The sequence below is a fragment of the Homo sapiens genome, chromosome 6, assembly GCF_000001405.40.
Source record: "Homo sapiens chromosome 6, GRCh38.p14 Primary Assembly".
In the NCBI taxonomy this organism is placed as follows: Eukaryota; Metazoa; Chordata; class Mammalia; order Primates; family Hominidae; genus Homo; species Homo sapiens.
The window spans coordinates 72,379,209-72,404,238 of record NC_000006.12 but is presented as its reverse complement, the minus strand read 5'-3'; the positions used below and the strand labels follow the sequence as shown (position 1 = coordinate 72,404,238).

Sequence of the window (25,030 nt, the reverse complement as noted above, 5' to 3'; positions counted from 1 at the left end):
TATATATATATAATGATCTCTTTCAATACACAGGGAGCTACTTTAATACAGGGCTACTTTATATTCTAAGTACTTAATACCTAGTACTTAACAAAATTCTTAATAATGTTGGTTAAGTATAATCAGATAATATATTATCTGGGATACATATGGGGCTGGGATTTCAAGAAATAAGTTGTCAGAGTCAGCAAGAAACCATGAAGACTTAGCAAAATTGCCTTTCCTCAGGTTCCTTCCTCCCATGACTGTAGGCTCTGAAATCCCAACACCGGGTAGCTTTATATGGTTTGAAGCAAGATTACTGCTCTTCTCCTTCTGTCTAGACAATAATTCTGAAGCCCACTCTCATCACCTGTTTCAGTGGCAGACTTTTCTCCTGGCCTCACCCAGCTCTGAGCTTTCTTAATGCACGCGCATCAAACAGCTTTAAATCTGACTGTTTTAAATTGAACTGACCAGTTGTTTTTGCCTCTTACTGACCCAGCCTAACAGATAATCTTGTGTCTTGTAGACCAAACAAATGGATGATTTAATAGGGTAAAATTCAGTCAACTGTTTAAAAACTATAAATAACTGATGCATTCATGTCTCCAAACTCTTTATTGCCTCAAATTTTATGTTGATGTAACTGTGTTTACTTTGCTTTACAAGTTAAAGCCAGCGTGGTCTATAAAAAGTTAAGAGCTCTTAGAAAGACAAGACTAGATCACAAAAGTTATTTTACTACAATGCAAGATGAAAGTAGTGCTTACCAAGTGTTTCATGAGAGGCGATGATTATTAAATACATGAGCACACTTTCAGGTAAGAAAAAATAATAAAATAACCTAAAAAGTTAATAATGTCTCTTTGAATATATTATTTTGGATATCTATCTATATTTGAAGATACTTTTATTATCTAAGATTCTATTAAAGATAATTCAGTGTAAATGTAGTGCTTATTTTTTGTTAAATTGGTCTCCTCTAAACCAAAGTTATATAAATTAGTCATGGGTTCAGAAGAAAAAGATGGAAAGAGGAAATATACTATGACGAGAGACGCAGGAATCAATTTTTTGATATGTCACGTAACTTGAAATAATTTGGCAATTGGACAATAGAGTTGTCTCTTTTATTAGCACATTCAAACAGCAGCAGAAAACAACCTTCCATTTGATTCTTACTGAGATTTATTATTTTTAATAATGCCACTTTTCAGAAGTATAGTCATGTGCTCACTTAGACAGGCTGACGAAGTGAAAACTTGTATGTGATGCAAAGTACCCTTTGGGCCATCGATTAAGACATAATATAGTGCAGTGACAAGTCAAGTCAAATGCCCGCAGCAGACAACAAACCCCAGCCTCCCCTTCCCATGGCCTGGCTCCCATTTTGCACCATAGAACCCACAATGGAAATCTGGCAAGACATAGAACACATATGGCTACTGACTGACATGAAAAGTAAATTTTATTAAACATGTTTACATACATGAATTGGAATTTCATTTAAAAGCACAGGGGAGTGTTAAGACAAGTGGTCAAAATAGAAAGATACTACCCAATTATAATCAGTTGATTGTTGGCCACTAAGACAGAACGGAATCTAGTAGAAGTGCACCAATGCTTCAGTTCCTCCTACTCAGCATGGTGAGCAGTGGTCAATCTGTGCCCTGTGGAATGATGGGCAGATAATTCTGGCATGTGTAAATAATAATAAATAATTCACTTGGTGCAGGCAGTATGTCTATGAATTAAAACCTAGTGTGTACACAGTGTCTACATGTGTTACAGCCCCACAGTAGGAATCTACACCAAAATATTTATTAGAAGGAATTTGGTCCGTACTACATCACGTTTTCCGGAGGGTAAAAAATAAAGTCCATCTATAGACATTTCACCACAGACCCAGAGACTGAGTCTGGCTAAAACCTGCAAAATGTCTATAACAAAAGTGGATGGCTTAGATTTCTTGGTTATTTCGGTATAGTAATTAACAAGCAAACTGTACAAGTACATGCAACATACAAGCTGGCCTATGTGGAACTAACATACATTATTAAATAACCTTTTGTTTCTTTTCTTTTTAAAATTTTTTTTTTTTACAAAATGTGCATGCAGCTCTGAACAGTTCCAAGTCATGCTGCTCTATTTGTGTAATCACAAAAGTGGAGTGACTCATAAAAGGAGGGAGAACATATCAATGCACCTGCAGAGACTGCAGTTTGTAGCACATGTACAGAATGTCACAAGGGAAATTCAAGGCCAAGAGAAACTAAATGAAAATGCAAATTGAAAGTTCATTTTGTTTATTTTCCCCCCAAAAAGTAAGATACTTTGCATTAAAAAATCAAGCTTTGTGCTTGCATCAATCTCAAAGAAATGTAAACTAAAATTCAATAAAAACAATAGTTTAGTGCAGAATATTTCAACTGGAATTTCCAGTGGAATATTGAACAGCTCATACCATGCTCTTTCCAGGGCAGATGGATGTGTCTACACTGAGGTATGGCTGAGAAGCCTGGGCATAGCTCAAAGTGTCTTAGGCTCAAATCCATTCCTAGTCACCATTTTTGGGAAGTCAAAGTATGGTTTATACACATGAGCATTTTTTTAATATCAGGAAGAAAAAGGCATTACAAGGAGTGTTTTCAAAGTACAATTATGCAGTTAGTTTTAGTCCCCAGCATTAGTTGCAGATTGACTTCTTTAAAAGTCTTCCATGCAAAACAATGGAAACCATAAATTAATTTTCTAGAATGCAAACAGATAGGCTCTTCATTAAAAAAGTACTTCTGTGATTATTTATTTTGGAAGATAACTTTTTGTCTCTTGGGTATCCACACATAAGACTTTAAATAATTATAAAATGAAAGCTAGTGAAACCCTTCCTTGGCTTCACCTTATGTAGCTGTTTAACACTTTGGGGAGATGCTACAGAGACTACTTCAGCCCTTTTTTTTGGTGCTTTTGGAAAAAAGAAGGGAAGAATCTCTGTTAGCATCATGAGGCCTGTCATGACACAGCCAAAAAAAAACTAGTGGAAATAACAGATGTGGTGAAAACAAAACAAAAACTCAAGAAACGAAAACCAACAAACAACACACAAATAAACAAAACACACAAAAGAACAAAACAACTCAAACATCAGGGAAATAACACTGCTTGTGGTCTGTGCAGAAATGTGTAGAATACAACTTTTCACAGAGTGAGAGTTTCCAGTTTGTTCAATTTGGTGTGTGTGTGTGTGCATGTGTGTGTGTACGTGTATGCGTGGATTTAAAGTTTCCTCTTTTTCTATTTGTTAGAAGCATCAGTGACTCTCACCAGCATGTTGATTCTTCCTGTAAATTTGATAGATTGCCTTGTTCTGTCATATGAAGCCATGTTTTAAATAACAATTGGGACATATTATTGAAAAACTACTACAGGCAAAACACAAGTTGATTGTCTGTCTCCAACAATGCTTTCGATCATGAAATATCTGGTTCAGATTATTATCCTGAAAAGTAGAGTTTTATTGGAATGACTCTGGTATGAGTTCACTATGATCGAATACAGGGAGGCCCAGTTGAACTTTCCAGAGATGACTGGGAAGCCCGCCGGGTGAGGGGAGTGAGTGTGGGATCCACCAGTGAGGACGGTGGGAACAATTTGTACCATCCGATCACCATGCTGGACAGGTCGAGTTCTTCCAACAAGATCTGAGCCACACCCATAAAGCATTTGTGGTCCATTCTGCCATAGTCTCCCCAGACAATCACCTGCAGAGATAGAGAAATGCAACATTACCTGGACTTCTCTCTGCTTCACATTCGAAGGGCTCAAAGCAACTATGCTGTAAAAGTGGGCCAGTCAGTGAAGCAGAGGAAAAGAATAATGAATACAACTATCACCAAGGAGAAGGCACAGATAAGAAGATACACTAACCTTAAGGTGCTCATAGACACTTCACAATAATTTTAGTCTGATGGAATGAAGGATTGTGTGTTCCTAGTCAATGAGGAGTATTAGCTACATAAGCCATGTTAAAGAAATAAATACATAAGAGTATTTTTATATGAATGCAACACCTTTCTTGTGTAACTACTATCTAATTAGCGATGTACAGGACCATAAAAATCTAAAAATTAAAATTTGTGCAATTTAGGAGGGCAAGATGAGCAATCCAACTCAGTATACCATGGAATGTATGTACCAGAAAGTATGTACAAAGAATGAGAGTATTCATTTGATTTCTTTCGTATTATGGTCTTTTTAGTGAAGGGGTAGGTCAAAAAATAATTGTGAGCTGGTACCTTTTGAGGACTTGCCTGCCAATTTTGATTTAGATGATTAATATTTCAATTAGATCATTAAAAATTACCACAATCTAGGTCAACTTCTATTGGCTACTAGTGTCAGACAAGCCTTCCATTTCACATACTCCCAGGTTCTATTTTCTAATACTTCAGTCGTCTGTAAAGGTTCTCAACTGAACTCATTCACCTGTTTTACACAAGCAGAGTTGGTGGTGAATCATGTCTTTAAAATTTACTGAGTAATTTTGTGAAATTACTTTACCTCTTGAATCTCAGACATAATCTTTAAAATGGGGATAATGATACTTATTGCACATGTTAGTTACAAAATTTAAATAATGTATATAAGCACCTAGAAATGCATCTGGTACTCCACCAGGGCTCAATATTTGCTGGTGTCTGCACACTTCTCTTTTCCTCTCCCTCTTCCTCTTTGTACCCCATGTTTGGTATATAGCAATGCTCAACCAACTATTATTAACATTGTTTTGTTTGCTATATCTGTATCTATCTATCATCTATCTATCTAGTGAGGACATATCTCTATCTATCTATTTATCATCTATCTATCTAGTGAGGAGTGAGGAGGGCTGGGAACAGGGCAAAGCTAGAAGGAGAGGATAGAGAGAGAAAAGACAAGAAGAGAGAGAGATAAAATAAAATTGTTCTCTATTAGACCCACCAAATATTTTTGATATTATATATTATTTATATTATAAACTAACCATTTGAATTTTGTCTACTCAAGAATATTATCCTACATTTATCTTTACCAAATTTTATTCTCTTTGTGTTTGACCATCTCTTCGATGTATGGGTAAAACAGACATTTCAATGTAAAAAGCCAAACAAACTATTACTGACCTGAAGAACTTTACCCTGTGGACTTTCATCAAAAACCAGAGACTGCTGATACAAAGGATCAAGGGTTTTTCGTGCAATTCTTGTCTTCTTCTTGGCTATACAGGCCCCATTTTCCAAAAGATATACTTTGACATATGGAGCTAAACAAAGGTATATTAACATATAAGAAATTATTCCTTAAATTCAACTATTTTTTTAATTAGAGAATTCCCTATTAGAGAATTAGAGATGCTTACTGAAAGTTTCCCATTGACTGTTTAAATTACTTAAAATTTCCATTGCTCCATAAATTCTGTTCCTTAAATCTATATGTTACCATTACTGCCATTTTCCTCATTTTGACTCAATGTATACAAAGTTATTTGAAGACTTTGACTTACTTGGGTTACAATGCAGGTTTATATCTTAAAGCTCATTGTTACCTTTTTATGATTAGAACTATATTCTTTTTTTCTTTTGCCTTTCTAAGTGTGCAAAAAGAAAATAATTGACACAAGCTAAGAAACGACCATAACTAAACTTTAAAAAAAATATTATAACATACTTCCTAACACCTTCTGAAAGAATAACTGTGCAAGGAAAACCCAAATCCGTTTTAATAACATCAAAGAACACAGAAACACTGCTTTTTTAATCAATCAGATGATGCAAAACAGAGCATATGAAATTCAAATGCAGCAAATGTTTTTATTTGTTTGCCTATTAAATAGTCCCTTCACCAAATTCAGGAATACTTCTCCTTACCAGGTGTAGATTTGGAACCAGGCTTTTGTGTGAGGCTTCGTGCTCTAATGACTTCCACTTCTAATTGGCCCTTTTTGTCCTCCATTCCTATTTGTATATCACCTGCAAATGGAAAGGAGCAAGATGTGTTTCAGCTTCTTTGCAGTTATGTGCAGTTAAAACAAAAAGGAGAGCCCGTAACAGACTACAGATTTTTATCTTCATGATTTTGATAAGAAACTAATATTTAGACCCCTCACTCCACAATCCACTTTTCTTTCTCAGTTTCCAAATCAAATTTGGAAACCATTCTCTTATTTTTTCTGGTATTAATACCTCTTATGAGATTTGCAAATTAGTTAATAAATGACTATAACAACACTAAAGTATTTCTATAATTCTTGTACTTAATAAGATTTCTTACTCTTATTTCATCCAGTATATAATAAAAAATTGTAACCATATGTATTTTCATTATCCAGAGAAAGCCACCATTAATATTTGGTGAATATCCTAGCATTCTTATACTTCTATCAATCTCTCTGCCTGTCTGTCTATCTATCTATTTATCTATCTATCAGCAATCATGATCATACACCATCATTTTATTGACTGTATGGACTACTGCATGGACATGTCATTACCTATTAAATCAGACTCCTATTGATGGAAATAAAGGTTATTTACATAAACTATTTTATAGTGCAGTGTATGTAAATAGGGTTATAATGAACAGTTTTATAAGAATTCTTGTACGCATTCTTGTATCAGTTATTTTTTGAACATCAAATTCCAAGATTTTAAATTTTCATATCTAATAGTATGGACATCCAAAAATTCCATGCATACTGCCAACTCCTCCAGAAAGGTTGTTCCAGTTTGCACTATCACCAGAAATATAGCTCTTCCTGCTTCCCACACTCTAACATTGGTATTAGCAATATGTCTAATATCAGTATCAAAAAAATGCTTAATTTTTGCCAATCTGGTTAAAACGATATTTTAATTTGCATTTCTTTGATTATTAAGGAGCACTATGTAGCCCATGTATAGTTTGATACAAAATTAGATTAGCAACTAGAATGAGTCCCTTCCTTTTTATTTCATGAAAATATTTGTTTCATAATTTTCATGTCTCTTGAGTTCATATTTATTAGAACTCATCTGTGAAAATATCTGGGTGTATTCTCCCCATTTTTTGGTAAGTAGAATGTTAAATACTGGTAGTTATAGTTCTACTCAGGTTTTTTCAGCTTTCTATTTACTCTTAAATTCTTTGTGGTAGGTTATATTTTTTAACAACTGTCCATCTTAAATAAATTTCCAAATTTTAAGCTTTATTTATTTATTTATTTATTTGAGACAGAGGCTTGCTCTGTCGTCCAGGTTGGAGTGCAGTGGTGTGATCTTGGCTCACTGTAACCTCCATCTCCTGGGCTGAAGCGATTCTCCTGCCTCAGTCTCCTGAGTAGCTGGGACTACAGGCATGTGCCACCATGCCTGGCTATATTTTGTATTTTTAGTGGAGACAGGGTTTTGCCATGTTGGTCAGGCTGGTCTCAAACTCCTGACCTCCGGTGATCTGCCTGCCTTGGCCTCCCAAAGTGCTGGGATTACAGGTGTGAGCCACCGTGTCCAGCCTAAGCATTTGTATAAGTGGTATCATTCAGCAATTTTCCTTCTTCACTTAGTAATATTTTCTTAGATATCCATCCAAGTTGATGTGTTGAGATCTAGGACATTCCCTTTAATTTCTCTATAATATTCCATTACATGAATGTCATATTTATTTATCTACTCTCCAATTAGGGGTCTTGGTTTTCCTATTTGGTGCTGCTACAAAAAAATGCTGCAAAGAGTTTCTTGAGGATATGTAAATTAGAAGTTGTATTGCTGGGTCACAGCACATCTACATTTTTATTTTTACTAGATGCTGCCATATTATTCCAATTGGTGACTGCACCAAATTATGCTTCTAATAGTAGTGTATCAGAATGCATATTTCTGAATGTCTTTGCTACTTATATTAAAAGATTTAAACAATTTGGACAATCTGATGTGCAAATACACAAATACACACACACATACACACGTGTGTTTTGTAGAAACGTTAACAGATAAGTAAACTCCACTCTATTTTCAGTCTGATAATTTTCTATCATAAATTAAAACTGAATTTTATCAAACATTTTTTTGGATACTTAAGATGGTCATTTTTTCTTTTTTATTACAGCAATGTGATCAATTATATTAGTTTTCAAATATTAAACCAACCATGTGTTCATGAAAAAAAAATCCCATTTGGTTGTGATAATATTATTTTTAGCATTGCTGAATTTGCTTTTCTTGGGGTTCATGAGGGTCTCTGGAAAGTATGACTATATTTATTTTCAGTTCTGAAAATTTTTCAATTATATATATAATTTTTATTGTTACATTTTATTGTCTATTTTCCATTTTACTTTTTATTTATTGATACATAATATGTACATAATATATGTACATATTTTTGAGGTATGTGTGATAATTTAATACATTCATATACTTTGTTATGATCAAATCAGTGTAATTGGGATATCATTACCTTAAATATTTGTTTTTTCTTTTATGCTAGAAACATGTGAATAATTCTCACTCAACCATTATATTTTCAATGGCTTCTGGCCTATACTCCTTTCCCTATTCTGGGACTAATTAGACATATATTAGACCTCACTTTTCTGCTCGGTCTTATAACTTCTTATTCATATTTTCCATTATTTTATGTGTCCAATTAATTCTGGATACTTTCTTATGGCTCTGTCCTCCAATTAACCATTAACCAATTCTCTCCTCAACTCTGTCTAAACTGCTGGTAACTCATCCATTGAATTCTTAAGTTTAGTTTATTTTTCAATTCTATAATTTCTACTGGGCTCTTAAAGATTTGAGTTTTCTGATGAAATTCTCCATCATGTTTTTTATTTTAGGTAATCTTCTTTTTCTTCTTCATGACTTGAGATGATGTCCTGAAATTGCATGAAGAAGCTTTTCCTTGTTTGTTTGTTTTGTACAGATTGTTCAGTTCACCACTCAGTGTGCTCTTTCAATCTCTCAGGTTTTATGTTTTTCTTAAAACAGTTCAGGCATCATTATTTTTCTCCAAAAACTGTCTCTCTATTCTCTTTTTAGGCTCCTATTAGAGTAAGTTTGAGCTTTTTGGTTTATTCTTCCTACATCCTGAATTCTCCTCTCTTACAAAAGATTTTTTTAAATTTATATAAGCCATGTTATTGGTGGTATTCTATAGTTCTTGTAGCTAATTATATCTTAAGCTTTGTTCAGTATACTATTTAGCTCATCCAGAGTTTTAAATTTTAAGTCACTATATTTCCCATTCTCTAACTTTCTTTCTTAAAAATATATACTTCCTTTTTGTTTAATAATCTCTTGGTGTTTTTCTCTGTGGATTATATGATACTTTATCTCTGAAAATTTCTAAGTTATTTTTACTTAGTTGAATCATTTCCATTTTCTCAGGCATGGATTCTCTTTATTTGTCTGGTCAGTTGATCAACTTTGTTGTTCTAGACATTCATTAGTTTTATAATTCTGTTTTAGACCTCAGTTCCTAGAAGTCTTTTGTTCTCTTTTTGTCCTTTTAATGTTTCTTAAAGATTTCTTTTTAAATCACACACATATCCCCAATTGTTCTATAAAACCTGTTATGTTTATGCATAACTAACTTCTACCTGTCTCTCAACTTCTTGTCTTCCAAAAATTATTGCTTCCAAAATTTTCAATATTTTTATCTGATTTACTTTCTGGAATTTGCCTCCTTATTTCTAAGCACTATACTTATATTTTCCTTTTTGCAGTTTTAGATATTATTATTGACTTCAATTTTGATCTCTTTCACTGCCTTCCTACCCCTACTACATACTTGACAATTTCTGTCATCCCATTCTCCCAATATTAATATTTATATTATTTTGACTATGTAACCTTATGCATAACTTTGTGAACTAGAATATTATAACTACTTCTTATTTCTTAGACAGACCTTCTTTTTCCCTACACTTAATTAGTATCTTTTAAAAAAGCATTTGCTTACATTTTTATGAAGACCTCACTAGTTCAAATCTTAGTTTCTCCTGGTTGTTTATCTCTTCCATAAAAATCAAACCCATTAGGTATTCTATAGATTTTATCTCATGAAGTCTGACATGACCCAATTTGAACGCTGCTTTGAAACCTAGCTGCAGCTATCTTTAGTTCTTCCTTTGCTATCATCCTGGGTATCCCAATCATATTTACCTTGTGAGGAAGCATTTGTTTTTTGGTTCCATCTTTTTTTTTTTTTTTTTTAGTTCATAATTTTGAAAAGTCGTTTAGTTCGTTTGGTCAAAGTAAATCTTCAAGTAGCTTTCTGAGAAATGTTAGAAATGAGGAAAATGATTTGAGGCCTTGCTTGGGGCCGAGTATGTACCTACTGTAGCCTCAAAATTACTTGATAGTTTGGCTGGCTTTTGTATTCTAGGTTGGAAATCTCTTGTTCCTCCGAATTCTGAAGGTAATGCTAACAGTCTTCTGGCTTCCAGTATATTGAAGAATCCAATGAAAATACGAAGAGCTCAATGAGAATCTGATTTTTTTTTTTTTCTTGGAGACGGAGTCTCGCTCTGTCGCCCAGGCTGGAGTGCAGTGCCCTGATCTGGGCTCACTGCAAGCTCCACTTCCCGGGTTCACGCCATTCTCCTGCCTCAGCCTCCCGAGTAGCTGGGACTACAGGTGCCCACCACTATGCCCGGCTAATTTTTTTTGTATTTTTAGTAGAGACGGGGGTTTCACCGTGTTAGCCAGGATGGTCTCGGTCTCCTGACCTCGTGATCCGCCTGTCTCGGCCTCCCAAAGTGCTGGGATTACAGGCGTGAGCCACAGCGCCCGGCAAGAATCTGATTTTTGATAGTTTTTTTGTAAAATTATTTTTCCTCTTAGGAAGCTTGCATGATTTTCTATCAAGCCTCAGTATTGTGAAATTCCACTATGTTGTGTCTTCAAGCTGATCTATTTTCATGCATTTTGCTGAAGTTCTTTCCCACTGCAAGATTACAGACAGATTAACTTAAGTGTTCTCCAGTACTTTTTAGTGTTTTTCTCCACCTTCCCTTTTCTTTTTTATAGTTGAGTCTAAAATACTAACTTTTTTGGTAAGTTGTGTAGGCGTGAGGGAATTCCATTAATTTTTTCACACAGGTAAATAGTTATGTTACTATACTTTACTGAACAGTCTTTTTTTTTTTTTTTCCATGCTGTGAAATGCCACCCATGTCCTACATTTACATCTATTATATCAGGGTTTCTGGTAATTCAAATATTTATAGCTAATTTTACTTCTTTTTTCATAACATCTCAAATTAGAAAAATGCACTTGAAATTAGAATAGTTGTTTGCAAACAGTAACTCTGTAGCTAAAATGTTGCTTCTCACTTGTATTGCTATTACACAATTTTAAATATTTTAAATGACTTTGTCAAACACAAAACATCAATTTTCTTGTAGAAAAAAAAAATGATTCTTACCCATTGCAGGGGTGGCAAGGGTTTGGCGGCCAACAAGCTGGGCTGGTCCCAATCCATCAAGAAAATCACTGAATTGACTGTCAGCTCCCAGTCGCACTCCAGGAAATATTAAACTATCAGCAAAAGGATAAAAACCAAAGGAAAAAACCCATGAAATCTTCTAGAATTCTTTTCACTAGTTTCCACTTGACTAATTATGATCATGAAACATAAATATTACTTAGACAATCTGTTTTTTTAATTGATTCTTTGCATTGCCTTTGAGCCAAGCATATGAGGCTTAACATTGACTGAGGAAAGGTGTAAACTCTCAATTTAACACCTAATGCTCTATTCAAGAGGGCTCAGTTATAGTTTTTAATATACCAAGTTCCAAATCCTTATATAAATGTGTTGCTGACAAAAAAACATAAGATGCGAATTTTTATATCATAAACTTCACACAGATACTTGCTCATGAACATTAGGTAACATTCATGCTAAATTTTTAAAGTGGCCAATAATTTCTTGAATAAATGTTATAACATAGTTCAAGTTCTTATTTATAAACATTTAATTGATTCAAAGATGAATTATTTGAGACTTTTATTTGGTTCCAATGGAAATTAATTGGTTAAAAAATCTGTATTTCTTCCTATAATACAACTTCCTGATAGCCCCAGGATGTAAGCTGCACAAGGGCAGTGCCTGTTCTCTTCTTGTTGACTGATGTAGTTATCACTGGGTAATGACAACTATGCTCATTATGTGATAGGCATTCAATAAGCATTTTTTGAATGAGCATATTTCTATAGAGACTTACTCTTTCCATTGTGCTTTCACATCTATTATTTCTTTTAACCAAGGAAATTAAATGGGACACAGATTATAATCCCATCCAGAGACCATGAAAATAAATCCAAGAGATTAAATGGTTTATGATGGAGGCAAATTTTATTTGTTACTTTTTTATATCAGAAAATGATGTGTTCAAGTCTCATTTGTATATTACTTTATGCTACTTCATCAAATATGGGTATTTTGTCAGTAAGTTTATCTCTGTAACTTTCATACCTGCTGATTTTTGTTCTTATATTCCTTACTGGAAACATGCATAACAAGCCAATCATTTGACCAACTAAACAGAGACCAACTAGTTTCAGGAATGGGAAGGAATATCACAAACAGTAACTTGGCATAATTCTGTTAAATTTTCTAAACAATATAGAAAAATTCCAGTAAAGACAAGAAATTAGAAATATCAAATTGGTATATGAGTAATGTGAATGGTAATGAACAAATAATTATGGAAAATTTATATGTGGTGAATCTCCATGTAATCCAAAACAACACATTAATTACTTATTTGTAAGATCCACTACCTCAATAAAAATTCAATTTTACCAGAAATATTCTCAAGCATAGGAAGAAGCAGGTTTTGTGCAGGATCCATATGAAATGGTAAAAAAAAAAAAAAAAGAAAAAGAATCGAAAAGAGTAAATTTTTAAAAATCGTATTCTATTTTTTCAGAATTAACTAAAACATTTTAGTCAGAAAAATAATGAAGCTGATAGACCCTGGATTATTTCCTAAGGTAAAAATGAGTCAGCAATGTTTTAAAAACAAGAAAATGTAACTTACATATATGACAGTGTTAGACTTAGAAAAGCTTAGGGTCCAAAATAGCTTGGAGAAAATTAAGAAAATGGGAAATCAGTTCCTTACTTATAAATTTTAACTTGGACTTTGGTGACAGGGACAGACTATGAGTTTCCCATATGAAAGAGTCCATTACCTGTGGCATTTGTACACTAAACATCCAGTAAGGAACTAGTCTGGGCTTTCCTAGATGCAAGAAATCAATTTGTTCATGTGGACTCAGAATTTCTTCACCCTTTGAAAGGTATGAATGACCAGGTGTAGAGGTGTGTCCATGTGTACTTACTTATAAGCCATCAGGGTGGTTTAAAATGGATGGTTGAACTTCTGATTAAATAGAGAAGCTGCACAGTAACACTCAGTGGCTTTGTTATCTTACTGATTAGTACACAATTCCTGGTTCCACAGCCATGCAGACGTGCTGACAGCACTTACTTGCCCTCAGAGCTGTAACTGTTGATGCTGCCATCAGTAGACTCTCGGCTCGGCTGCCTTACCATCTTTCTCATTTCAGCTGCCATGCCTGTTTCTGTGCTTCTCTGGATGGTACTTTTTAACTTTTTGTGGCCCGACTCTGACAGGAGAGAGTAAAAGAAACTCTAAGTTTTATTTAGACAGTTTACTCCTGAATATCAATTGATCCTGCAAATACAATAGTTAATTTTACACATAATTACAAATTTAATCAGAAAAATAGTAACCTAAGGGAGTACTTTGCTTGATTCAGGCTCCTTGCCAAAGTATGCTTGGCTAAGGGGAGTACCACTGGATGCTATGCCATGGCCACAGTTTCAGTGACTGCCTAAATCTCAATCAGCCAAAATGAAATCATTGTATTATTGATGGTGACAACTTCAATGAAAATCTGAATTTGGCACCCAACTGTTCTGTGGAAAGATAATGGTGAACAATCTAATAGGTTTCTCCTAATACGGAATTCACTAAATGTGTATGAATAGTCCCAAAGGACAGGTCGTGTTCTTTTAAGGAGAAGGTGCATTTGGAACCCAGTTTGAAAAATACCACAGTTTTACTGTCACGTATCAGCAATCCTCATGAAGAGAAACTAGTATTTTAATTGATGATTTTTGCAGCACTTTAACATACACTATATAATATTTATACTTATTTCTACTCCATATAGATTATGGAGTTAGGTGTAACAGGTTTTATCTTAATTCAAAGACTACACAGCTACCTCATGGCCTTTTGACTCAGCTGCATGAGTTCTGACTGGCAGTTTGGGGTGTACACCTCCATTTGTACTGGGAATTACATACATTTGCATTTCAGTTCTTGATAAGCTCAGAGGAATTTTCTTGAGCCACTTTGAAATGCACTAACCAGCATTCTATTCATAGCATGGAAATAAATTCTAAAATATTTACTTGCTTACATGTATAAGCAGTATCAATAGGTTAGGAAAACTGTTAGACTTTATTCCATCTATACGTCCTATATAAATTTCTGGTTTTCGCTTTAGTTTCTGTATAGTATCATATAATACCCATTAATAATATATGAAAAATGCTCTATATACATAATTACATACATAACTACTATATAAACACATTAACTTTTCAATCCACATAAAACCTTTACAAAGCAGGTACCTAAATACACTCTTAGATAAGCCATTTGAAACACTGCATTTTTTCCCTCTCATTTTTGGTCACTGGATTCCTTTTGTAAATTGTCTAATCAAAGATATAATAGGTTATGCTATATGAACTTAATGCTGATCCTTCCTACACATTTAGTATGTTCATTAAAATTTTTATTTTTTATTGTTCTTAACCTTTTTATTGCTATTTTTGCTTACAAAGACAATATATGTATATTACAAAATATTTAAATGTTACAGAAATTGCCAACATTGAATGCCCCCTATAATTTCACCACTCAAGGAAGACAATGGTTAGTAATTTGGGAACTATTTTTTCTTTATACCTATACAAGCTTCTTCACTTGGCTACTGTGATCCACATTCTCCGTTTTTCCTTCTTTGACATTGGTTGTTACTTCCCAGTCTCTTCTGCTGGATTTTTCCTCTTTGAGATTTTTAGAAATAGACAATCCCTAGACCTCAGGCCTCAGACCTTTTGCTTTCTTCTACACTTACTTCCTAGGTGATCTCTAACATAGCTTTAACATAGCTAACAAAGCCACCTATGCCCTTGTGCCTCCCAAATATACATCAAGGTCTTAACCTTTCCCATAAATGCTGAAGTCATTAATCCAATTGCCTAGTAGCTCCATTTACAGATCTGATAGGCACTTCAACATTAACATATCCAAGACAGAACTCTTCCCCACCTCCACCACACTACCACCTCCCACTACTAAATCCTCCTCCCACAGTAAATGGTACTACAATTCACTTGGGTGATAAGGCCTAAATCCTTGTAATCATCTTTGATTCCTCTAACACACCCCACACCCAATCCATCAGCGAATCCTCTTGGCTTTGCCTTCAAAATGCATCACAAGTCTGGTCATTCTTCTTCCTCTCCACAGCTCCAACCCTATGTCCAGACACTATCATCACTCAAAAGAGCAGTGCCATACCCGTACAGCTAGTGTCACTGCTTCTATTCCTTTCCTCCTCAGAATATTCTTGACATAACAGCCATGGTGAGTCTTTAAAAATGTAAATCTGAATATATCATTCCCCTGCTCAAGATCTTATAATGATTAATCACCAAAGTAAAATGAAAATCCAAAATTGTTATCGTGGCCCAGGAAATGCCATATCATCTGGTCCTTGGACACCTCACATCTCATCTTCTGCCCCTCATTCCATATGATCAATGCTCTCCAGTCACACTGTCTTCCCTGCATTTCCTCAAGCCTGCAAGCATGCTGCTTCTGGGCCTTTTTTACTTCTGTTTGTCTCTTCTGACTTTCTTGCCTTGCTCCTTATTCAGATTTCTGCTTCAAGACAGGCTGTCTCCTCAGGGAGGCTTTGTATAGTATCCCTTTGCTGTGCTTTATTTTTCTTCACAGCACTGCTTCATCTGCCATTAAACCTTTATCTGTTTGTGGTCTGTTTTCCAATTAGAATTTAATTTCTATGTGAGCAGGGTCATTGTGAGTATTGTTCACTGTTATTCCTCGTATCTAGAACAGGGGTATAAACTGTTGATAGTGAAATCACACCACATATACTAATGTGCAATTTTCACATTCCATTTAATATAATGTAACACAAACAGGTATATATTTATTCTTTTTAAAGATTGCACTATTCCACTTTATGACTATGTGGTTCATCATTAAACCATCTCTTTATTGATGGGCTATTGGATATTTCCAGTTGTTATAGGAGAGCTTCTACAGAATGAATTACTAGAAGTTGAAATGCTACTGAAAGGGTAGGAATCTGTTTAATTTAAATAGCTATTTCTAAATTCCCCTTTAGAAACATTGTAGTGATTTATACTCCTACCAAGAGTCACATGGATGTTCCCACTTACCTACCTATGGCTCAAGAATTCTCTTCCTATCCCCTTTTTGGACTCTGTCTTGTCCACTTGACTTGTCATTGTGGAACGTGCACACTTACCGAAGGCAGGGACTTCATCTATGGCCATTGTAAATGCTGTTTAGTTTAGTTTTGGTATTTATTCATTTATATGTTGATTCCTTTCTAGAGGTAATTCATTTGTGAAGTCACTATGGTAGAGCAGTGGCCACTCATGGCCACATACTGGCCAGATCTCACTTAAAGGACAGGGGTAAGCCCCAGGGGTATATTACCAAAGTATTGAGCCAAGATGAATTACAAGTGTTTATCCAAGACAGCATGAGATAATAAAATCTGCATAGAACACCAGTTATTGAAAATCACGAGGATCATGGCTAGAGAAATTGCAGGAACATTAAATCTAAACGGTGAGGTGCTGCTGAAAACTGGAGGAGAAACAGTTAAGAGGATCAACAATATGGCGGGTTCAGGTTAGAGTGTTAGTTCATTCTGTTTTTTGTTCATTCATCTATCCTACAAATATTTATGGAGCATCTATTATGTGTCATACACTGCTCGAGGTGCTGGAGATATATGGATGGATGAGAAATTTCCTGCTTTAAAGGAGCGTAGATTCTAGTTTGCGTGTGTATACAAGAAAGACAGTGAATAGGCCGAGCGCAGTGGCTCACACCTGTAATCCCAGCACCTTGGGAGGCCGAGGCGGGTGGATCACGAGGTCAGGAGATCGAGACCATCCTGGCTAACATGGTGAAACCCTGTCTCTACTAAAAATACAAAAAAATTAGCCAGGTGTGGTGGCGGGCGCCTGTAGTCCCAGCTACTCGGGAGGCTCAGGCAGGAGAATGGCGTGAAGCTGGAAGGCGGAGCTTGCAGTGAGCAGAGATTGGGCCATTGCACTCCAGCCTGGGCAACTGATCAAGACTCCATCTCAAAAAAAAAAAAAAAAAAAAGAAAGACAGTGAAACGAAGATACAATATCGCTGATAGGGAAAAAATTAGGCAGGATGAGAGGGGTAGAGAGTGATGAGGTAGAGCGGGAATTATTTTGTTTGAAAAGGAGCCAGGGTCTGATTAAGCAGGGCAGGGGGAAGTGACGACACAAGCTATGAGGAAAGAGGGAAGCAGTACACTGCGGGGATCAGTCCTGCTGACGGGAGGCTGTGAGTAATGGTGGCTGTGGCAGAGGGGAAGGGGAGGGCTGCAGTCTTGCAAGTAGTGCACAGGTCCCCAGGCTTCCTCTCCAGTCTTTGTAATGTCGATGTTGACTCCAACCCAGAGGCTCTGTCACCAGTGATCTCAGGCTCTGTGTGTTGCTGGCAGTCCAGATGACGGTGAAGTGCAGACTGTCAATAACTGACTTATCTTGCATTATCTAACACAGGTTTCACATGATTGTTGTTCATTACATATTTGGTGACAAATGAAAATGAAAACTGAAAAGAAAAACTTTAAAAGTGAATAATCTTTATTCATTTGTATATTTTAGTTGGGATATCAAGTTTTCTTAAAGAAAGGTATATCTACAGGGTGTCTCAAAATTCTTACAGCAGTTTTAAACTTTAATAGCTTCCACGGTGTAAAGGACACAAATGCTTGAAAAATATCATTTGAGGGGCTAGTTATTGAATTTTCTTTTATATTTACTTGATTTTGTGAATTTGAATATTTTTAATATTAAAGTTTTTGTTTTAGTCCTGCTGAATGAAGATGGCAGATGAACTGACATCTAACTGTTGTCTTATTCATATAAATAAATATTCATGAAAAGAGCTTCAATTGATTAAGCAATATAAAGGTCCAGGCAGAAGCTCAATAAACAGTTCTAGTTTTAAATTTGCCTTGTTTAAATTCATAAGGGTCCCAATATTAATTTGGAATGTGAGGATTAGAAGAAACATTGTTTTATAGATGTGGAAACTGTAAATCTGGAGAAACAGAATTCATGCAACAAATTCGTTCGGCCCTTACTCTGGGTCCAGTCTTTTCCAGATGCTGGTAATACAGCAATGAGCACAACAGACAAAATCCCTGCCCCAATGGAGGTTACATTCTAGTGGATATAATGACTTGCTTAACATCACATTAGTTAGCAGCAAAAGCTGAATTAGAAACCTGTCTTTCTAAATCTTAGTCTTGCAATCATTCCATTATACAACATTTTAGGAAAATGTAAAGTCTGGTCTTATTTATTTTGCAAATAGAACAATGGTTATCTACACAGGTATTTTTATGTATACATTCACATATGGCTTTACAAGTTAGTTTGTAAAAGTTTGTTAAAAAGCACATATATTCTATACAAGCACAAATGTATAATTATCTGCATCTATGTACATATACTGTAATTATAACAAATATGTGTTACATCTATGTAATATGTTTAATGTCAATATAGTCCATTAAAATATATACAATATTAGAAAATGCTTTTATGCTTTTAGGAATGCCATCGTTATTAATTATTTGTATCCATTGAAGAATCATTAACCTTATAAAGACATAAAGTCTACTACAAATTATGACATGAAACCTTTGATTTGTGAACACCATCTGAAGTATTCTATTAAGAATAAAAAAGATTAGAAAAGTAGTGCATTTTAATATTCTCTAGTCACATGAAAAATTACTAAAATCCAAAATGTCTGGGGGCAATATTTCACCCGTGTTCCGGAAGGGCAAACTTTCTCTCAAAGAGTATTCCAAAAGATGTCATATTTACAGGTGAACTCTTTCTCTCTTTGCTTATTTAGAGATATGTGTTATATTTAGAAACATCCACTGACTTATTAATTCATTCTATAAATACTCATTAATCACCAAGAACCTATGATACAGGCATTGTTCTAGGTGTTTCAGATACAACAGTAATAAGATAGAATAGGGAATACAGTAAACATGTATTTTTAAGTTAGGACCATGAGAAACAGGTCAAGGCTAGAAAGATAGAGAGATAGAATATATTGACATGCAGATACAATTAAAATCTATGCTGGTAAATATAAGAACTTGGGGAGGAAATACACATAAAGAGTAAAGAGAATGGAGCTTGGAATATTCCCACAGTTAGAGGTACAGAAGAAAATCAGGACTGTCAAGGAGGCTGAATAGGAGGACCTTTTAAGGTGGGGGAAAAGCAGTAAGTGCAATGGTACAGAAATCAGAAGAAGTAAGTGTGTCAAGAACTAAAAAAATAATGTTGATTACTACTTAAGAGGTTTAGTAAGAAAAAAATATAGACGTGACCACAGTGCTTGGCTTCATGGAGATAACTGACTGAGAGGAGTAGATTCAGTGAAGCAGTAAGATTAGGTGCCTGAAAGGAGTGGCCAGTCAGAAGAGGGAATGAGAGGTGAGTAAATAGAGACAGCTCCTATGACTATTTTGTAAAGGTTTGTTGTGATTGAGAGGTAGTATTTGGAAAGTCACACAGTATTAGGGGAGGTTGTCCTTTTCTTTAAGATGTGTGGTAGTAGAGCTTGTTTCTATGTAGATTGGAATAATTAGATGAACAGGGAAAAACACATTGTTAGACTTAACATTATCGGCTGGAGAGATGTATAAAGATAGATAACATCAGATAAATCATCTTCCAATCAAAGCAGTCTCTGAGGCCAAAGCAGTCTCTGATGGAACTGGATACACTATCCAACTCCATCAATTAATTGGAAAAATCAATAAAAGAGTATCACCTGATTAAGCAATTTAGGTCCAAAATAAATGCAATAATGGTTTGTTAACTCACAAAAACAAAGTATCAAGTAAGTATAACCTTTTTGGTTATTCTGAAATAATATATTTTTTTTATTTTTGAGGTGACAAATTCAGTTATTTTGTAAAAATTAATTTTTTTTTTAAGAGACAGGGTCTTGCTAGGTCTCAGTAACAAGATCACAGTAAGCTATGATTATGCCATCACTAGGCTGGAGTGCAGTGGTGTGATCACAGCTTACTGTTACCTTAAACTCCTGGGCTCAAGCGATCCTCTCCTCTCAGCCTTCTGAACAGCCAGGACTACAGGCACATGCCACCACACCTGACTAATTGTTTTAGTTTTTTTTTTTTTTTTTTTTTTTAGAGATGGGGTCTTGCTATGTTGCCCAGGCTGGTCTTCAACCCCTGGCCTCAAGTGATCCTCCCATCTCAGCTTCCCAAAGTGCTGGGATTACAGGCATGAGCCACTGTGCCTGGCCAAAATTCAGTTGTTTTTTTCTTTCTTTTTGTGGAACCGCAGTGAGAACTTGAAAATTCAGTTTAAAAAAAATTGTTGTGGTTAGTATATTATACTTGTTCATTTTGTCCTTTAGTCATTCAACAAACTATTTCCTTAGTGCTTTGTGCCCCAATACTGTATATGTAAGTGTGAAAAGGAAAGAAACCCATCAACCATTTCATAGTCTAGAAGGAGACATAGACAAGTAAAAGTCTCATTGTGATGTGGTATAAGTGCTGTGCAGTGGGTTTATTTTATATGTATTTAACTTTATGTATTTATGTTATGTAAATTCAATGATATGAAGAGAAGAAGAGAAGGGGAGAGAATAATTCAAGCAGTGAGTGTGAGTCGCAGCTTGCAATGCCACTTAATGAGCATGTAAACTGGAGAGATCATGAGCTGAGAAATGCAAATCTTCTTCTTTGTTTCAGTTCCTCAAGATAATTCTTGTGTTTATGAAGATTTCTAAAAAAAGGCTGCCTAAAAGCAAGCCAATGGCTTTATCTGGATTTAAACAAAACAGCACCAATGTAGTCAAACTGTGTAAAAGCAGACAGTATTGGACTTATTGAGAGACTGTAGATTGCTATTTAAGAGATTTTCACAGGAAATTTTAACTCTGTGTAGAGGTAGAGGACGGATGGAGGCAGGGTGGAAGGGAATTGTATAGTTGTATTTCAAGCCAGGAGAGCAGCATAGGTAAAGGTCCTGAAGAGAAAGAGTATGGTCCCTCGAGTTAACTACATTTCCTGAATCACCAGAGTTAATTTAATGGTGATTGAAGATAGTGAGGTGTGAAGCCAGAGAAGTAAACACTGGAGGGTCTTTTATCTAAGGCCCTCAGGGTGCACAGTGACATATCATTTGAACTGATGTTGTAGTGTTATTAATGCTATCCTTAATAATCTCAAGGTCCTGGTCTTCCTTATACAATTTTACCCATATACAATTGTGTGTAGTTTGTATTACATGCAATATAATATAGTAATATTGTCATCTATCTCCAACAATTATTATTTAAAAGAAAATATGCAGCAGCTCTCCTTTGTTGATGTCAGATGCTTCCAATGTGTGGTAACCATATAGTTGGAATTTTTTATTAGTCTTCCCTAATAGTGCCATCATTTTCTTTAGTATTTAAGCAAATAAACACAAATGTTCCTTTTGTGTTGTGCCAAGGTTTTTGAATATATTTTATCCTAAGCCAGATAAGTACAACTTGTAAAAATTTCATAGGTTGGAGGATTATTTTTAGAAAATGGCACAAGGTTCTTTGGCTTTCATTGTTTTCCTCATTTTCTCTCACTTATTCTCCAGGTTAATCCTATCAGTCATAAACTCCACTATTTTCCTTCCATTTTCCCATTTTCCAAAGATATTTCTAATGAAAGAATACAGTGGTCAAGAAACTAAAAACAGTATCATTCTGAGTATTTTTGTGAGATAGATGGAATCATTCTTTTGATGATATTTTCCTTCAAGAGAATATTTCAAATCTTTCCTAGTGATGTACTTATCCACTTTTATTGCATTTCCCTAACCCAAAAGATATAAAATGTTTTATTTTGTTACAATGTACTTTAAGTTATTTACAGATACTACTTCAGAAAAGGATTCATCTGTTCGAACATTGACCTTTATTTTTATTTTCAGCTCTTCCATGGCTAATAGCTATTCTTTCATTAAAAACCTGGTATTGCTATGATTGACTATAAAGCCTTGCCTGTCAGATCTACTTAAATCACTCAGTTACACTTACATTTTCAGCAAAATGTTAGCTAACATAACTTTGTTTTTTCCATTCGCTGAGCTATTGAAAGTATAAACAATAGCAAGTTCAACATGGCTTTTCGTATGTTTTAAATAATCTTCATATTAAACTTAATAAGGCTGCCCAAAAATATTTAAGTAAAGAGATTTGTATACACTGAAACATACCATCTGTACTACCTCTTATTTTGGCTAAAGCCAGATAAGAGAGCGGGAAACATCCAAATGCTGAACTTCTCACTCGTGTAAATTGTTTGATTTCACAGCTTCAATGTTTCCAAAGTATTTCTAGTGTTAGGAGCTAAATTATGTCCCTCTAAAACACATGTTGAAGCCCTAACCACTGTACCTCAGAATGTGACTGTAGTTGTAGAAAAGGCCTTTTAAAGCAGTGATTAAGTTAGAACGAGATCATTAAAGTTGACCCTAATCCAATTTGACTGGTGTTCTTATAAGAGCTGGAGATCAGGCCTCACAGAGACACCAGGGGCCACCGGCACAAGAGGGACCACCCTAGGAAGACGCAACAAAATGGTGGCCAACAGCAAGCCAAGGAGAGAGCCTCAGAAGAAACCAAACCTGCTGACACATCGATCATGAGCTTTTGACCTCTCGAATGTTAAGAAAATAAATATCTGCTCTTTAAGCCATCCAGTCTATGGCATTTTGTTACAGCAGCCCTAGTAAATAAACACATTTAGGGAGTGGATTTTATTATTTTATCATGTTATTTAATAATTGTGATGATTGAGATACTTTAAGCATGTGGGGATAAATAATCACCTAAATTGTCTGAGGATGAGATTAAGCCCCAAATACTGGAATGGACTTGTTTTTCAGGTTGCCTTAAATAAGAAGTGGTCCGAAGGCCAGGCATGGTGGCTTATGCCTGTAATCCCAGCACTTTGGAAGGCCGACGTGGGAGGATTGCTTGAGTCTGGGAGTTCAAGACCAGTCTGGGCAACACAGAGAGACCCTATCTCAATTTTAAAAAAAAGTAATCTGAAGTATTACACGAGTATACTGAAATCATTTATTAACAACTCTTGACAACAGGAAGATAAAGGCTCAGATTTTATTTGCTCAGTAGTAGTAAAAATAGCACATTTACTTCACATTCGTTTTCTTTACTCTTCTTTGGTCTAAGTTAATACCTCAGATGAAGCTGGATTTCATTTACTAAGCATAAACCTAGAATATCTCCTTACTGTCTACCACCCTGACTATAATAATAAAGTAATACTTCAGGTTGAAGCCTAGAAAGAAGCAAATGCTTTATTGCATTGTTTCATATACATATATATTATACTTTAAGTTCTAGGGTACATGTACACAACATGCAGGTTTGTTACATATGTATACATGTGCCATGTTGGTGTGCTGCACCCATTAACTCATCATTTACATTAGGTATTCCTCCTAATGCTATCCCTCCCCCATCCTTCCACCCCACGACAAACCCCGGTGTGTGACGTTCCCCACCCTGTGTCCAAGTGTTCCCATTGTTCAATTCCCACCTATGAGTGAGAACATGCGGTGTTTGGTTTTCTATCCTTGCGATAGTTTGCTTAGAATGATGGTTTCCAGCTTCATCCATGTCCCTACAAAGGACATGAACTCATCCTTTTATATGGCTGCAAGTATTCCATGGTGTATATGTGCCATATTTTCTTAATCCAGTCTATCATTGATGGGCATTTGGGTTGGTTCCAAGTCTTTGCTATTGTGAATATATATTTTTAAAAACTTTTATTTAAACTCAAGGTTTTGGGGAATCTTTCCTCCTATCCAATCTCAACAGGCAGACTAATATTCCAAGTGGAGCCTGGACCAGAAGTGGTTTGAGGGGCAACTCTGGACTCAGAATGCCTGGATTCAAGTACCAGCTCTACCACTTACTAGTTCTGTGCCTGCAGGCAGCCTACTGAGCCTTTTACACCTTAGTTTCCTCATCTATGAAATGGGGGAATCAAAATACCTAGCTCATAGGGTTGAGTATTAAACGAGATAATTCATGTAAAGCACTCAGGAAAGTGCCTGGAACCTATTTAAAGTTATCTATTGTTACAGAATAAGATCTCAAAGTATTCTGCACAGATTACATCTTCAAGTAGAATAATGCCAATTCTCCTTGCTCCATTCAAAGCACATGTTCTTTCCGGGCCTCACATTTAATTCCAAATGCTATTTAGAATGCCGTAAAATTAAGCTGCAACATGTCACAGATAATTACATGTGCCCCCAATATCTATTCATTCTCACCATTTGTTTTACTGGTAAACTTCCTATCTTCTAAGTTAAGGACTGACCACATTTCCCTTCCCTCCTCTGCTCTTGAAGGCATGGGGACATGATGGTGGGAGCTAGAGCAGCTACTTTGGGTCTAGGATAGGAGAATTTGATGAAGCTGGCGAAGCCTAGTCCTCTGACATAAAGGAGTCGCCATAACAGCCCAGACTGGGATGACCACTGGGACTATTATGTAAGAGT

General features: G+C 35.4%; 1 protein-coding gene and 1 long non-coding RNA gene across 90 annotated transcripts in view, besides 2 other annotated features; one reads left to right on the top strand and one right to left on the bottom strand.

The window, feature by feature from the left end:
• The window catches only part of RIMS1 (regulating synaptic membrane exocytosis 1), a 516,596-nt gene continuing 492,659 nt past the window's right edge, over positions 1,094–25,030 (bottom strand). For all 89 annotated transcript variants that reach the window (NM_014989.7, XM_017010517.3, XM_047418419.1 and 86 more), the window contains 5 exons: positions 13,503–13,641; positions 11,429–11,541; positions 5,889–5,990; positions 5,145–5,284; positions 1,094–3,743 (listed from right to left, as the gene is read on the bottom strand). In NM_014989.7, coding sequence (NP_055804.2) covers positions 3,525–3,743; positions 5,145–5,284; positions 5,889–5,990; positions 11,429–11,541; positions 13,503–13,641 — 713 coding nt within the window. In that variant the 3' untranslated portion in view covers positions 1,094–3,524. The remainder of the gene's footprint in view (positions 3,744–5,144; positions 5,285–5,888; positions 5,991–11,428; positions 11,542–13,502; positions 13,642–25,030) is intronic.
• Positions 13,325–13,525: a silencer, noted in NCBI's record as "peak5890 fragment used in MPRA reporter construct". NCBI's record gives its function as "represses an SCP1 promoter by STARR-seq MPRAs in K562 erythroleukemia cells {active_cell/tissue: K562}" and the evidence as "EXISTENCE:reporter gene assay evidence [ECO:0000049][PMID:32103011]".
• Positions 17,606–17,806: a silencer, noted in NCBI's record as "peak5889 fragment used in MPRA reporter construct". NCBI's record gives its function as "represses an SCP1 promoter by STARR-seq MPRAs in K562 erythroleukemia cells {active_cell/tissue: K562}" and the evidence as "EXISTENCE:reporter gene assay evidence [ECO:0000049][PMID:32103011]".
• Positions 20,794–23,190, top strand: LOC107986611 (uncharacterized). The gene is made up of 2 exons (XR_001744197.1): positions 20,794–20,826; positions 22,997–23,190. It is a non-coding gene; the product is annotated as an uncharacterized LOC107986611 (long non-coding RNA).